Raw genomic sequence first — 16,715 nt, forward strand, 5'->3', positions numbered from 1 at the left:
TTTGGCAAATACTCTTTGCGTGCTTAGTACATGCCAGGCATTATGCTAGATGCCATGAACCTCCTGGAGCTTGTTTAGTGGGGAGACTAGCAGCATGCAAGTCAACGAACAGATAAGATGATTTCAAATAGTGATAACTGAGTGCTATAAGAAAAGTAAAACAGGGTAACTTTATGGGGGATTACCTTAGAGTAGGTGGTCAGAAAAAGGTCAGAGAGAGCCTCATTTCTAAGGATGTAACACCTAAGTTGGATGATGAAGATCAGTAGCTGCAGAAATAAAAGGAGGTTGCTCTCTTGGAAGTGCCCAGTTTCTTCTGAAAAGCTGTGAAAAATCTCTCAAAAATGGAGGACAGTTAAGCAAAGACTGGAGACTGCAGGAGGAGAAAGTGAGCAAGGATTGGCAAATTACCATCCTGCCTAAACCAGTCTCAACCTTTTTGAGCTATTTTTAGAGGTTAGGTGTTTCATTGCATGTCAAGGTTAGAAAGTCACTTAGAGATCATCCAGATCCGTGCTATTCCGTATGCTGTATATATACCCCTGGTGGTACATGAGATGATTTTAGGTACTCGTAGATGAACATTATTTATTTTGATGTGTATTTTTTTAAAAAAACATCTCGACTGGGTGTGGTGGCTCACGCCTGTAATCCCAGCAGTTTGGGAGGCCGAGGTGAGTGGATCATCTGAGATCAGGAGTTCAAGGCCAGCCTCGCCAACATGGTGAAACCCTGTCTCTACTAAAAAAACAAAACAAAACAAAACAAAACAAAAAAACAAAAAAAATTAGCCAGGTGTGGTCGCATGTTTCTGTAGTTCCAGCTACTCAGGAGGCTGAGGCAGGAGAATTGCTTGATCCCAGGAGGCAGAGGTTGCAGTGAACTCAGATCACCTGGGCAACAGAGCAAGACTCCGTCTCAAAAAAAAAAAATCTAATATGGAGCCCATGATTTCATGATTATTATTGCTTTGATGAAATTAATGTAGGAAGAGCCATGCCAAGTCACTTTCCAGAGATCAATTTGGTTGGCCAAGAATGGACTCTGGATAGGCTTATGGGATGAACCTGAGGTAGGGAAGGCTGCCACCCCCAGGAATGAGAGATAGAATGCCCAAATGCCCTTCCTGTAATTTATGTTATTCTTGGATATGTCAAAAATCATGTAGGTTTTATACACAGATGGAAATATTGATTTGACTCTCTTGCCTTTGAATTCCTTCCACAAAGAAATTATTTTAGAGCCTGTAAACATCTAAGGAAATGGCAGGTCCTCTTGGTGGTTAAGTGAAAAGCCTCTAGAGTTAGTCATTCCTGGATTTGAATTCCAGCTCTGCCATTTAATTGCTATGTGACCTTGGGCAAGTAGTTTAAACCTGTCTACACCTTAGTTTCCTCATCTGCAGAGATGGGTACTCTAGGACCCATTTCTTAAAAGAGTTATTGAAAGGATTAAATGAGATAATATATGTGGGAAGTACTTTTCCTAGTGTCTGTCACATAGTAGGTGCTCAAAATACATTATAGCTTTAATTATTCAAGTTTTCTGGGGCAGTTTCCATTTCAAATATTCTGTTGTGTTTTTAGACTATTTGTTCTCATTTGAAATTCTAAAATGTCATCACTGTATTTTTCTTCAGCATTTGAAGGAGGAGGGTTTGTTTTTTCAGGTATAAAGACACAAAACTGCCTCCACTTTCTACACTTGATTTGAAAATCTCAATCCTAGTCAGAGACATCTTATTAAGACCCAAAGCATAGGATGGCTACTATAAATAAACAGAAAATAAAGAGTATTGGTGAGGATGTAGAGAAAATTGAACTCTTGTATACAGTTGGTGGGAATGTAAAACGGTTCAACCACTGTGGGAAACAGTATGGCAGTTCCCAAAAAAATAAAAAATAGAATTATATGATCCTTCAATTTTGCTCATGGGTATATACCCAAATGACTTGAAAACAGTGTCTTGAAGAGATATTTGTACACTTATTTTCATAGCAGCATTATTCATAATAGCTAAAACAGGAAGCAACTCAAGTGTCTATCAACAGATGAATGGATAAGCAAAATGTGGTATATACATACAATGAAACATTATTCAGCCTTAACAAAGAAGGAAACTCTGCAATATGCTACAGCATGGGTGAACCTTGAGGACATTATGCTAAGTGAAATAAGCCAGTCACAAAAAGACAAATACTGTATGATTCTACCTATATGAGGTACTTAGAATAGTCAAAATCATAGAGACAGAAAACAGAACAGTGATTGCCAGGGACTGAGGGAAGGCAAGAATGGGGAGTCATTGTTTAATGGCTACAGAGTTTCAGTTGTACAAGATGAAAAGGGTTATGGAGATGGATGGTGGTGATGGTTGTTTAACATGATGATGTGTTTAATACCACTGAACTATACATTTAAAAAGTTAAGATGGTACATTTTATGTTTCATGTATTCTAACACAATAAGACATTTGAGAAAAAAGAAGACCTAAAACAGACTTGTACCCACAAAGAATGGAGAAGGGAAGAAGAGTGATCTTTAAACACAGAAGTACCAGGCAGTGAAATTTTGAGTTTTCCTCAGAAGTACAAACAATGAGTGGACAGACAAGAAGCCAGGGTGGGAGAGACCTTTCATTGGGTGTGACCCTTCATTTCCAGTTCTACTTGAAGATTTTGCTTTAATTAACACAAAGGTGAAGCTCAGATTGTAGATGGCCTGACATTGCTTATGATCAGCCGTTTTTCTAAATTATCTAAACCTCATTATAATTATACATATGAAATGCCTGGTAATAAAATTGCATAGTAATTACACAGCCCGTAACATCAGTATTCAACCTGCAGGCTCCAGCTGCCCTCTGATATTCATTATAATCAGGTTTCGCCTGTTTACAAATGGCAGGGGAGGTAAATCCACTCAATGGATTTTGTTCTGGAATCTGTATGCCCTCCAGGGTCAGCTGAAACTCATAGAAAATTGTCCTTTAATATTTGAATCAATATACATGTATCCAAACCATATCCTTCTTCTTCATCAACTCTCTAGTTCTGGATACCTAATTAGATTCATCAATTCCTCCATAGCCTTCCTGAGAGAGAGGAGAATTAAGCAATGGGTCAGCCAGGGAACTGCCTGGGGTGCCAATTTAAAAGGGATGTTTAAAAATCCCTGGAATAAAACATAAATATGGTGCTGCATACCTTGGGTTTCTGCCAGTACTTCCTAAAGTAATTGGTGAAATGAAAATTGGCCACTTCTTTCACCTAAGGAGGCTGGGACCTTTGAGTAAAAAATTAAAAGCAAAAGCAAGCCAGTCCTCACTGGTGCCAACCACTCTATTTTCGTGACAAGCGCGTGCAAGTTAAAGGGTGTGCCACCAACGGTGAGATTAGCAAGATGGGAGTTGCTGAAAGTAGGCAACTCTCCACAATCACCTGATATTGAGAAACAAAATACTGCATGTTGCAATGCTCTTTATCAAGAATGAAGGGTTCATTTCCTTATCTAAATTTTAAATCCTCTACTATACCTTCCCCAAAGTTACCTGGTTTGGAGAATTGCAAAAGGACACTGAGGACAAAATAAAAACTACAGAAAAGTGGAAAATGGTTTGTTGTAAAAAAAAAAAAAAAAAAAAAAAACAAAAAAAGGAGAAATTCTAAGGTCTTTTGAATGTGATTTTATTTAACTTATTTATTTATTTTTATTTTTATTATTATTATTTTTTTGGAGAAGGAGTTTCGCTCTTGTTGCCTAGGCTGGAGTGCAACAGCACGATCTTGGCTCACTACAACATCCGCCTCCTGGGTTCAAGCGATTCTCCTGCCTCAGCCTCCCGAGTAGCTGGGATTGCAGGCATGCGCCACCACGCCCGGCTAATTTTGTATTTTTAATAGAGACGGGGTTTCTCCATATTGGTCAGGCTGGTCTCGAACTCCCCACCTCAGGTGATCTGCACACCTCAGCTTCCCAAAGTGCTGGGATTATAGGCGTGAGCCACCACGCCTGGCCTGAACGTGATTTTATAACTATATACCTGTAAGTTATCTGATTTTATAATTATATCCCTGTAAGTTACTGCCATTATATTTAGTTTTGAGTGACAAAACAAACAAAAGAAATGAAAGTAATAAATCAGTAATTTAAAATGCCAATTTAGGATTTTTTGCTGTAGTTGAAGGCAAAACATACACACACACACACACACACACACACACACACACACACACACACACAACATATTGGTTAAGCTCATAGGCTCAGATGTGAGCCTACCAGAGATTAAATCCTGGCTCCACTACTTACTAGCTGTGTGATCTTGGCTAAGTGACTTAAACTTTGGGCCTCATCTATTAAATGGGGATGATGATGGTGGTGGTGATGATGACGATGATGACGATAACAGTGCTCACCTCCTAGGATTAAATGAGATAACGCATGTAAAGTGGTTAGCATAGTTCCTGACATACGGTAAACACTCAATAAATGATAGCTATTATTGTTATAAGTGTAGGTAGTGAATTTTTTATTTCAAACATAAGGAAAAAAGACATACACTATTTAAAATAGAAACTCAGTCTCTCCCTACTCTCATTAAGTAAATGTTGACCAAATATTTTAAATATATGCAGGTGAAGAGGCACCAGAACATAAGCCTGCCTGGGGCATCCACATTGTCTCATCCAGTCTTGCTGAGGAGGGCAACTGTGGTACAATCAAAAGAATGCTAGATTTTTAGAACTGGAAAATCTGGCTTCAGGTCCCATCTCTGCCACTTAATAGTTACTAGTGTGACCATGAACAAATCATATAACCTCTCTGAGTTACAATTTCCTCATATGGAAATGAAGATACCTATGTTATAGATGGGTGGTGAGGACTGGAAAAGGTTGTATGGAAAAGCATCTGGCACATATTAGGCATTCAGCAATTGTTTATTGACTCTGAATCACAGAAAGAAAATAATTCAATGGAGATTTTAATACTTATCTGTCATCAAGGATGATGGCACAAGTTTCTGAGCAGCACTGATTTTGCCTCAAACTAGCTTCTGCCATTTCTTGTGAAAAGGTCAATATTACTGTCATATCCATAAGGCTCCAAGATGTAATTGTGTATGCCTGCTAAGACTTTTTAAAACAGGGTGATAGAGTTTGGCTTAAATGCCAGCACAGACCTTTCTACATAAATGTAGTACTGAAAAAGTGCTGAAATATTCCAAAGATGCTACTATTAATACCAACTTCAAAAATGATGAGGAAGTTGATGGCAGCAACTATAGTAACATGTTTTAGTTTTTTATGTTTTGTTTCACTTTGTTTTAAGTCACTGGCAAGATTATAGTCCAATTTGTCCTCTATTGACTACTGAACAATATTGTTTGTGGAACATTCCTGGAATCTGTTTGACTGTAACATAATCTGGTTTTGTGTACATAAAATTAGATTTAATACAGAAATAGGAGAAGTGAACAGCATCAAAATAATTCCAGAATACTCATAGGCCTTATAAAAATATTTGACAGCATTAGCTGACTTCCACTCTGATAGTTACGGAGCAAATTTAGCAGTCTCTAGAAGCTCTTACTCAAATATATAGTAATCCCCCTTTATACATGGTTTCACTTTCAGTGGTTTCAATTACCCACAGCCAACTGTGGTCCAAAAATATTAAATGGAAAATTTCAGAAATAAACAATTCATAAGTTTTAAATTATGGACGATTTTAAGTAGGGTGATGAAATCTTGCACCATCCTGCTCTGTCCCCTGAGACATGAATCTTCCCTTTGTCAGGGTAACCACGCAGTCTAAACTACTCACCCATTAGTCACTTAGTAGCCATCTCAGTTATCAGATCGACTGTTGTGGTATCACAGTGCTTGTGTTCAAGTAACTCTTATTTTACTTTATAAGTTCCCCAGACTGCAAGAGTAGTGAGGCTGGAAATTCGGATATGCCAAAGAAAAGCTGTAAAGTGCTTCCTTTCAATGAAAATGTAGGCCAGGCTCGGTGGCTCACGCCTGTAATCCCAACACTGGGAGGACGAGGCAGGTGGATAGCTTGAGTTCATGAGTTTGAGACCAGCCTAGGCCACATGGTGAAACCTTGTCTCTACAAAAAATACAAAAATTAGGCATAGTGGCACAGGCCTGTAGTCCAAGAGGCTTGGGGGGCTGAGGTGGGAGGATTGCTTGAGCCTGGGAGGTCGAGGCTGCAGTGAGCTGAGATCGTGCCACTGCGTTCCAGCCTGGGTGACAGAGTGAGACCCTGTCTCATTTTTAAAAAACAGAAAAAAAAATAAAAGCTAAATATTCTCAATTTAGTAAATAAAAAAAACTTTTATTAAAGTATATTGCTATAATTGTTCTATTGTTATTAATCTCTATATTGCCTAATTTATAAATTAAACTTTATCATAGATATGTATGTATGGGAAAAAACATAGTGTATACAAGGTACAGTACTATTTGCCATTTCAGGCATCCACTGGGGGTAATAATGTCAGACAGATGACAAAGTAATGTATAAAGAGCCTTTTAGAATCAATAACTAAAAGACCATTAAAAAAGTGGGCATACATTAAAATGAATATTCTTTTTTTTTTGAGACAGAGTCTCACTCTGTCACCCAGGCTGGAGTGCAGTGGCCGCAATCTCAGCTCACTGCACCCTCCGCCTCCTGGGTTCAAGTGATTCTCCTGCCTCAGCCTCCTGAGTAGCTGGGATTACAGGCACACGCCACCACGCCTGGCTAATTTTTGTATTTTTAGTAGAGACGGGGTTTCACCATGTTGGTCAGGATGGTCTCAAACTCCTGACTTCATGATCTGCTTGCCTTGGCCTCCCAAAGTGCTGGGATTACAGGCATGAGCCACTGCACTTGGCCTAAAATGCATTTTCTAGATGATTGAATAACAATAGTCCTTTGCTATGAGATAATGACTTGGTTTATGGCCTTAATATACTACTTAATTACTTAAGACATTTATTAATAGAATGATAAATGCATAGAGTAACCTGTAAGCATGACATACTTTTGCTTTCAGTAGTTTCATGTAAAGAAAAAAACTTGAACCAACCAAAAAAAGTCCAGGACCAGAAGGATTCACAGCTGAATTCTACCAGGGGTACAAGGAGGAGCTGGTACCATTCCTTCTGAAACTATTCCAATCAATAGAAAATGAGGGAATCCTCTCTAACTCGTTTTATGAGGCCAGAATCATCCTGATACCAAAGCCTGGCAGAGACACAACAAAAAAAGAGAATTTTAGACCAATATCCCTGATGAACACTGATGCAAAAATCCTCAATAAAACACTGGCAAACTGAATCCAGCACCACATCAAAAAGCTTATCCACCATGATCAAGTGGGCTTCATCCCTGGGATGCAAGGATGGTTCAACATACGCAAATCAATAAATGTAATCCAGCATATAAACAGAACCAAAGACAAAAACCACATGATTATCTCAATAGATGCAGAAAAGGCCTTCGACAAAATTCAACAGCCCGTCATGCTAAAAACTCTCAATAAATTAGGTATGGATGGGACGTATCTCAAAATAATAAGAGCTATTTATGACAAACCCACAGCCAATATAATACTGAATGGGCAAAAACTGGAAGCATTCCCTTTGAAAACTGGCACAAGACAGGGATGCCCTCTCTCACCACTCCTATTCAACACAGTGTTGGAAGTTCTGGCCAGGGCAATCAGGCAGGAGAAAGAAATAAAGGGTATTCAATTAGGAAAAGAGGAAGTCAAATTGTCCCTGTTTGCAGATGACATGACTGTATATCTAGAAAACCCCATTGTCTCAGCCCCAAATCTCCTTAAGCTGATAAGCAAATTCAGGAAAGTCTCAGGATACAAAATCAATGTGCAAAGATCACAAGCATTCTTACACACCAATAACAGACAAGCAGAAAGCCAAATCATGAGTGAACTCCCATTCACAATTGCTTCAAAGAGAATAAAATACCTAGGAATCCAACTTACAAGGGATGTGAAGGACCTCTTCAAGGAGAACTACAAACCACTGCTCAATGAAATAAAAGAGGACACAAACAAATGGAAGAACATTCCATGCTCATGGGTAGGAAGAATCAATATCATGAAAATGGCCATACTGCCCAAGGTAATCTATAGATTCGATGCCATCCCCATCAAGCTACCAATGACTTTCTTCACAGAATTGGAAAAAACTACTTTAAAGTTCATATGGAACCAAAAAAGAGCCCGCATTGCCAAATCAATCCTAAGCCAAAAGAACAAAGCTGGAGGCATCACGCTACCTGACTTCAAACTATACTACAAGGCTACAGTAACCAAAACAGCATGGTACTGGTACCAAAACAGAGATACAGACCAATGGAACACAACAGAGCCCTCAGAAATAATACCACACATCCACAACCATCTGGTCTTTGACAAACCTGACAAAAACAAGAAATGGGGAAAGGATTCCGTATTTAACAAATGGTGCTGGGAAAACTGGCTAGCCATATGTAGAAAGCTGAAATTGGATCCTTTCCTTACACCTTATACAAAAATTAATTCAAGATGGATTAAAGACTTACATGTTAGACCTAAAACCATAAAAACCCTAGAAGAAAACCTAGGCAACACCATTCAGGACATAGGCGTGGGCAAGGACTTCATGACTAAAACACCAAAAGCAATGGCAACAAAAGCCAAAATTGACAAATGGGATCTAATTAAACTAAAGAGCTTCTGCACAGCAAAAGAAACTACCATCAGAGTGAACAGGCAACCTATGGAATGGGAGAAAATTTTTGCAATCCACCCATCTGACAAAGGGCTAATATCCAGAATCTACAATGAACTCAAACAAATTCACAAGAAAAAAACAAACAACCCCATCAAAAAGTGGGCAAAGGATATGAACAGACACTTCTCAAAAGAAGACATTTATGCAGCCAACAGACACATGAAAAAATGCTCATCATCACTGGCCATCAGAGAAATGCAAATCAAAACCACAATGAGATACCATCTCACACCAGTTAGAATGGCGATCATTAAAAAGTCAGGAAACAACAGGTGCTGGAGAGGATGTGGAGAAATAGGAATGCTTTTACACTGTTGGTGGGACTGTAAACTAGTTCAGCCATTGTGGAAGACACTGTGGCAATTCCTCAGGGATCTAGAACTAGAGATACCATTTGACCCAGCCATCCCATTACTGGGTATATATCCAAAGGATTATAAATCATGCTGCTATAAAGACACATGCACATGTATGTTTATTGTGGCACTATTCACAATAGCAAAGACTTGGAACCAACACAAATGTCCAACAATGATAGACTGGATTAAGAAAATGTGGCACATATACACCATGGAATACTATGCAGCCATAAAAAATGATGAGTTTATGTCCTTTGTAGGCACATGGATGAAGCTGGAAACCATCATTCTCAGCAAACTATCACAAGGACAAAAAACCAAACACCGCATGTTCTCACTCATAGGTGGGAATTGAACAATGAGAACACTTGGACACAGGAAGGGGAACATCACACACCGGGGCCTGTTGTGGGGTTGGGGGAGGGGAGAGGGATAGCATTAGGAGATATACCTAATGTAAATGATGAGTTCATGGGTGCAGCACACCAACATGGCACATGTATACATATGTAACAAACCTGCACGTTGTGCACATGTACCCTAGAACTTAAAGTGTAATAAAAAAAATATATATATATATATAAAAAGAAAAAAACTTGAAAATAGTAATACCTGAGGACACATGGGAACAACAGACACTGCAGAGGGAGGGTGTGGACCAAGAGCTGTAAAACTACCTACTGGGTACTCTGCTCACTACCTGGGTGACGGGATCATCCATACCCCAAACCTCAGCATCACACAGTATACCCAGCTAACAAGCCTGCCCATGTGTTCCCTGAATCAAAAATAAAAATTGAAATAATTTTTTTAAAAAGAAAAATACAATAGTATTACCCATAGGACAAAATTTGTACTATTAGCAATAATTATTTTGTGTCTCATTTAGAAACAATTTGACTTTTGTTCCAGAGTTTAAATTTTGACAAAAATGGTTTTGAATAGATCTTTATAACCTGATGCCATAAATACAAGGTTCTCTGATACCTTCATTTATTATATCAATATTGGGCCTAAAACAGTATTCTGTAAAGCTTAAGTTGGTATTAACTATGATCATCTTGATGTCTATGATAGATAATAAACAAGGTCATACATACCTTACTAAGCAATTTTGGTTTTTCACCAACATTTTATTCTTTAAAAGATTTACAGTAACACAATTATTTAGCATTTCAAGTTGTGTGCTTTATTTAGCAAGTGAGAAAAAATTGGAATATTGAAGTATTTGCATAAAAAATCAAATGGTAGTGTTTTATAATCTCTATTGTATTTCCTATTAAATTTTTATATGTTACTTTCCCATTGTTCCTGAATTTGTTATCCTGTATATAAACAGAAACATGGATGAGTCAAAAAAAAGTGGACATAGGCTATGAGTAGATTATTCAAAAAGGAACTACAAATGGTCATATAATCAATAAACATATGAAAAAGTGTCAAATATCACTAGTATTCAAAGAAATAATAAACCACAATAAGTTACTAGTTTTCACTAATATGATATTGCTAAATATCATTTTTTAAAACTTGCACACTAAGTTTTATTGTATGCTGCTGCCAATGTATATAAAACAATTACCCTTGTGAAGTAGAAATTCATAAAAATTCAGAGGTAGATGTTAAGGACAGACAAAAGTAGAATTTTGTATATTACAGCACATGTGTTACAGGGATAAGCTTTTGTACAGGCTTCAAATGTATCTCTCTTGAATATTCACTGGATCATAAGAAGTGGTTTGGGAAACCTTTGAAAGATTCATTGTACTACAAAAAGGAACAGACTTTCTGGGGTCTGAAGGGATTTGTACTTGAAGATACTCCAGTCAGCAGAGGGTCATGTTGAGCATTCTGCAGACAGAATTGTTTCAAGTCTGCAGCTGCCTGGGAAACTTTTACGCTGTTGAGCCCGGCCTCCAGCTGGAGCTGTTGAACCACTTTCTTCGTAGCGGCGACGCTGGAGAAGCCAGACATGGTGAACGCGGGGGCCGGGCCGATTCGTGGGTCGGTGGGTCGTGGGCCGTGGGTCGGCGGGGCCGCTAAATATCATTTTTAAGATGCTATTAGAAGGGCTCAGGAATACCAGCATTCCTATACATTGATGATACAAACTTTATAGCAGGCAATGTGTGTATTGGTACCTGACATATAGTATTCCCTCAGTAAATATTTCTTCAATGAATGAATAATTTTGTTGCTGACATTAAAATAAATTTTCAGACATTTTGACAATGTGCCTTGGCACAATGCTCTGAATTCATAAAAACTGCCACTGAATCTTACTATTGTTGGCTCCCAACCTTGTGGAAGTTTATAATGCCCTGCTATTGTTAGCTTGCTTTCATGCCATCTTTCCCCTTTCTTCGAAATGCTGTATGGCATATATATTTTTAATTAAAGTGCCTCATGTATAATTTTGTTTTGAGATATTTTCAAAAAAACTCATGGTGAACCTCAGGATAATTGTAGCCACCTTAGAGGGTTGCAGATTTTGGGCTGGGAAGCAGCCCATCTTGGCAGCCATCTGTGTGATGCTTTTCAATTGTTAGTTCTTCGCTAATTCTGTAATGTATTCTTCTCACAATGTGAACAGATCTTTTCTGTCAATAAGGAAAGCATAATTTTGTTAATGATAGGTAAGCACCTTATTATCTGTATTTGGCAGGCTTAGACATATTGCTGTCTTTTGGAGAAAAACAGCTGTTTCCAGATGTTATTAAAGCAGGCATTACCACTGACAAAGCTTTCTCACAAAGTATCTTACAACAGTTCTGTGTGCTGTCAGAGCTGCTTGTAACAAAAATTCTGTGGGAGTTAGGGCCCTGTACTTTCTAATTGCTAAGTGCTTTGATTACAACCTCCTGCTCAGATATTACAGTGAGTGACATTTCCATCTATACACATGATTCCATCTATACAGATTTTCTTCTCTTATAATCACATGGCTTCAGTGTTATGACACTTCTGATCTTTGTGAATACTTGCCCAGAATTCTGACACTTCCATTAGTAGCACACAGACAGTTTGGACCTGTTGGAAATTGACACAATGTATTTTGCTTATTCTGGAAGCATTAATTTTAATTTCTCTTTTGTGAATTTATGTATGTAAACGTAATCATCTGACTACATGGTTACCTTTTTTTGGCATTTCTCAATTATTTTGGCCCATTTCTCATCCAAAAGAATTATTATTATAGCAACTTCTCAGTACAAAAGATTAATTATTGTAGTAACTTCAGTGCTCTTTTTCCACCAGATCAACAGTTACTTTGTATTTAATAAGCTTTTCAAGGCTTTTGTTGAACTTACTGATTTCGACTTCAGTCTTCTTTTTCATTTATTCTTTCAACACTAGAACCCACCAGGAAAAATTATTTAAAAGCTGGTAATAATTTAGATGACTTGTTTTTCCTTCTGACCTATCTAAAGAAGTCTCTTTTTGACTAAGTACTTAGCTTTCCATTCTGTCCCTATAACCTAGAATTCAACAAAACACTCACGATCCATGCAAACTATGAATTTGCTTTAAACTACACATTTACATACTACATTGTTAAACACAGGCTTTGAGAGAAAAAGCACACTGCAACTAGAGACTTATGATATTATCTTGAGAGCAATTATTAAAGATTTTTAAAAAGTAAACCAGTGATACTTCCATCTCTTGGGTTATTGTATTGCTATTAAGAAGAATGAGGTAGATTTTTATTCAAATGGAAAGATATCAAAAATATACTGTCGAGTAAAATTAGAAAATCACAAAACAATATATAATATGGTATAATTTATGTAGAAATATATATGTATGTGTATGTGTTCTTATGTATAATTCACATTTATGTATATGCATAGAAAAAGGTCTGGATGGATATAAGTCAAATTCTTTTCCTTGTTGCTAACCCTAAGAAAGGGGAAGTAAAATGGGCAGGGAAATGCATATGAAAACAGGTTTTTACTTTTCACTTTTTGTAAAATTTGAATTTTTCACAAGTATATATTACTTTTAAAAAACTAAAAGCCCCTTATGCCATTTGCTGTTATCATCCCCAGGCCTGAACTGTTAAATGAGCAAAAGAAATTCAGTGATAAGATCTCATTGGCCTTAAAAGAAGAAAATAAAAATAAAGTAACAACAATAATAGTTGCCATTTGTCCAACAATTATCTTGAGTTAGATATTTCACAGGAATTATCTAATGCATGCCTTATAATAACCTTGAAAAGTAGGTTCTGTACCCGATTAGGTATGAAAAAACTAAATCTCAGAGAGATTAATTCGTCAGAGGCCACATAGCTGGTCTCTTAGCCTGTTGAGGCTGCTATATCAAGAATACCCCAGATTGAGTGGCTTAAACAACAAACATTTATTTCTCACAGTTTTGGAGACTGAGAAGTCCAAGATTGAGATTAGGGTGCCAATGTGCTCAGTGTGGTGCAGGCCTTCTTCCTGGTTTCCTCACATGGCAAACCCCATTACCTCCTAACCCCAGTTGCCCTCTCAAAGGTCTGACCTCCAAATACTACCACATTGGAGATTAGGGCCTCAACGTATGAATTTTGAGGCAAACAAAGTTCAGTTCATTTGTGTTTTTATACCAAATTCAGCTGGTAAAAGCAGTTGGGCAGGAATTTCAACCTGGATTTATCTGGCTCTTAAACCTGTGTTGTTATTACTGAACAACATAGCCTAATTGGAAGTACATAAATGGAGTTTACGATGGTGTCAGGGACTGTTTTTAGTATTTTTATACTGTTCTTAGTACTTTTTGTATATAATAATTCATTTATTCCTCACAACAATTCTGAGTTAGGTATTATTATCATTATAGTTTTATCATCTTAATTTTTCAAAATGAGGAAACTGAGATACATACACATTACTTGTCAAATGTGTAAGAGGCAGAGCAAGGATTTGAATGAACCCAGGCAGTCTTATCATACATGCCACTGCATCTCTAGGGATCATGTATAAGAAAGTCCTGTATGTGTCTCCCATTTCGCATTCTCCCATCAAGGAGATTAAGGAAAAGATGACGTATACCGGTAGAACACAGACTTAATCAAGCTAAATAAAGTCATGGCTCAAAGAAAGCCTGCCATCTTATGTTTTACAAATGAATTCTTAAGTATCTATACAATTCTCAGTAGGCTATCTTTCAAAAACACTTCCATCTGAAGTGAAATGTTCCCAGTTTGAAATCCAGAATAAGGTATAGGTCTGTCTCTTAAGGCATTCTCGCCCTGTTTTGAGAATATGAAACAGAAGAATTGTGCCATACCAGAAGAGAGAAAATAAAAGTGGGCCTGAGGTTTCCATCTTTGGTGAGGGGCTTCTAGTTTCAAATAAAGTTCACCTTACTCTTCAACCTGATAAAAAGCACCTATAGAGACCCAACAGATAACATCATACTTAATGGTGAAAGACTAAAACTCTTCTGCTAAGATCAGAAACAAGAGGAGGATGTTCACTCACCCCACTTCTACCTAACACTGTACTGGAAGTTCTCAACAGGGCAATTAGGGAAGAAAAAGAAATAATAGGCCTCCAGTTTGGAAAGGAAGAATTCAAATGATCTCTATTTGAAGATAGCTTGATCTTATACATAGAAAACCCTAAAGAACCCACAAAATAACTATTAAAGTAAATAAAAGCATTCAGCAATTTGCAGGAGAAATATACAAAAATCAGTTGTGCTTCTACACACTAGCAATGAACAATCTGAAAATAAAATTAAGAAAACGATTCCAGGCTGGGCATGGGGGCTCATGCCTGTAATCTCAGCACTTTGGGAGGGTGAGGTGGGAGGGTTGCTTGAGCCCAGGAGTTTCAGAACAGCCTGAGCAGCATAGTGAGACCCCCGTCTCTACAAATAATAATAAAAAAAATTAGCTGGGCATGGTGGCACGCACCCTGTGATCCCAGCTACTCAGGAGGTTGAGGCAGGAGGTTCACTTGAGCCTGGCCAGTTGAGACTGCAGTGAGTCATGATTGCACCACTACATTCCAGCCTGGGCAACAGAGTGAGACCCTGTCTCAAAAAAGAAAAGAAAAGAAAAGAAAGGATTTCATTGCATCAAAAGAATAAAATAGGAATAAATGTATCCAAGAAAGTGTAAGAATGTACACTGAAAACTATGAAACGTTTTTGAAAGAAGTGGAAGAAAACATAAGTAAATGGAAAGAAATTCCATGTTCGTGGTGTGCAGGAGACAATATTGTTAAGACAGCAATACTACTCTAACTGATCTATAGATTCAACACAATCCCTATCAAAATCTCAGTGGCTTCTTTGCAAAAAATGACATGATGATCTTAAAATTCATCTGGAAATGCAAGGGCTCCAGAATAGCCAAAACAATCTTAAAAAAGACATTAGTTGGAGGATGCACACTTCCCAATTTCAAAACTTACTAAAAAGCTACAACAATCAGTATGGTACTGACATAAGGATAGACATATAGATCAGTGGAATAGAATGAAGGGTCCAGAGATAAACTCTTACATTTATGTTTGATAGATTTTCATCAAGGGCACCCAGACATTTCCACGAGGAAAACAGAGTATTTTTAACAAATAGTGCTGAGACAACTGCATCTTCACATGCAAAAGAATGAGGTTGTACCCCTTCCTCACACTATATACAAAAATTAACTCAAAATGGAGCAAAGATCCAAATGTAAGGGCTAAAATTATAGCACTATTAAAAGGAAACATAGATGTAAATCTTCATAGCTTTGAATTAGGCCATACTTTCTTAAATAGGACACCAAAAAACACAAGCAATAAGAGAAAAAAATGATAAACTGACTAAATCTTAATTAAAAACTTTAATGAATCAAAGGAAATGAAAAGACAACCCAGAGAATAAGATGTGAAAGTGTTTGCAAACCATGTTTGATAAGTACTTGTATCCAGAATATATAATTCTTACACAACTCAATAAAAAAAGACAACCCAATTTAAAAACAGGCAAGGCAAAAGATCTGAATGTATGTTTCTACAAAGAAGATACACAAATGGCCAATTAGCACAAGAAAAAGATGTTCAGCATAATTGTTAGAGAAATGCAAACCCAAACCACCATGAGATACCCCTTCATACCCTCTAGGGTGGCTATAACTTTTTTTAAAAAGAGATAATAACAAATATTGGCAAAGATGAGGAGAAAATGGAACCTAAAGGGAATATTAAATGGTGCAGCCTCTGTGGAAGATTGTCTGGCATTTTCTCAAAAAGTTAAACATAGAGTTATTATATGACCCATAAATTCTATTCCTAGGCATATACCCAAGAGAAATGAAAATACATGTTCACACAAAAACTTGGATATGAATGTTCATGGCTGCATTATAGCCAAAATGTGGAAACAACTCCAATATCCATCAACCCATGAATGGATAAACAAATGGTGGTATACCCATACAATGGAAATGAATGGAATACTGATACATTCTACAACATGTAATGAACCTTGAAAATACTATTCTAAATGAAAGAAACTAGTCACAAAACCCATCTATTGTATGAGTCTATGCATAAGAAATGTTTAGAATAAG

At 37.3% G+C, this 16,715-nt stretch overlaps 2 protein-coding genes across 2 annotated transcripts in view, besides 2 other annotated features; both read right to left on the reverse strand.

Annotated features, from left to right (window-relative positions):
* AMMECR1 (AMMECR nuclear protein 1) overlaps positions 1 to 16,715 on the reverse strand; it is a 246,048-nt gene that overhangs the window by 141,593 nt on the left and 87,740 nt on the right. The window lies entirely within an intron of this gene.
* Positions 5,667 to 5,816: an enhancer, noted in NCBI's record as "active region_29853". NCBI's record gives its function as "activates an Ori minimal core promoter by ATAC-STARR-seq in GM12878 lymphoblastoid cells {active_cell/tissue: GM12878}" and the evidence as "EXISTENCE:reporter gene assay evidence [ECO:0000049][PMID:35858748]".
* Positions 5,827 to 5,886: an enhancer, noted in NCBI's record as "active region_29854". NCBI's record gives its function as "activates an Ori minimal core promoter by ATAC-STARR-seq in GM12878 lymphoblastoid cells {active_cell/tissue: GM12878}" and the evidence as "EXISTENCE:reporter gene assay evidence [ECO:0000049][PMID:35858748]".
* On the reverse strand, positions 10,676 to 11,195 carry GNG5B (G protein subunit gamma 5B). Its single transcript, NM_001396022.1, has one exon. It carries the CDS (start codon positions 11,129 to 11,131, stop codon positions 10,925 to 10,927), a length of 207 nt encoding a protein of 68 aa, NP_001382951.1. The 5' UTR covers positions 11,132 to 11,195; the 3' UTR covers positions 10,676 to 10,924.

The sequence above is a fragment of the Homo sapiens genome, chromosome X (genome assembly GCF_000001405.40).
Source record: "Homo sapiens chromosome X, GRCh38.p14 Primary Assembly".
NCBI classification, from domain to species: domain Eukaryota; kingdom Metazoa; phylum Chordata; class Mammalia; order Primates; family Hominidae; genus Homo; species Homo sapiens.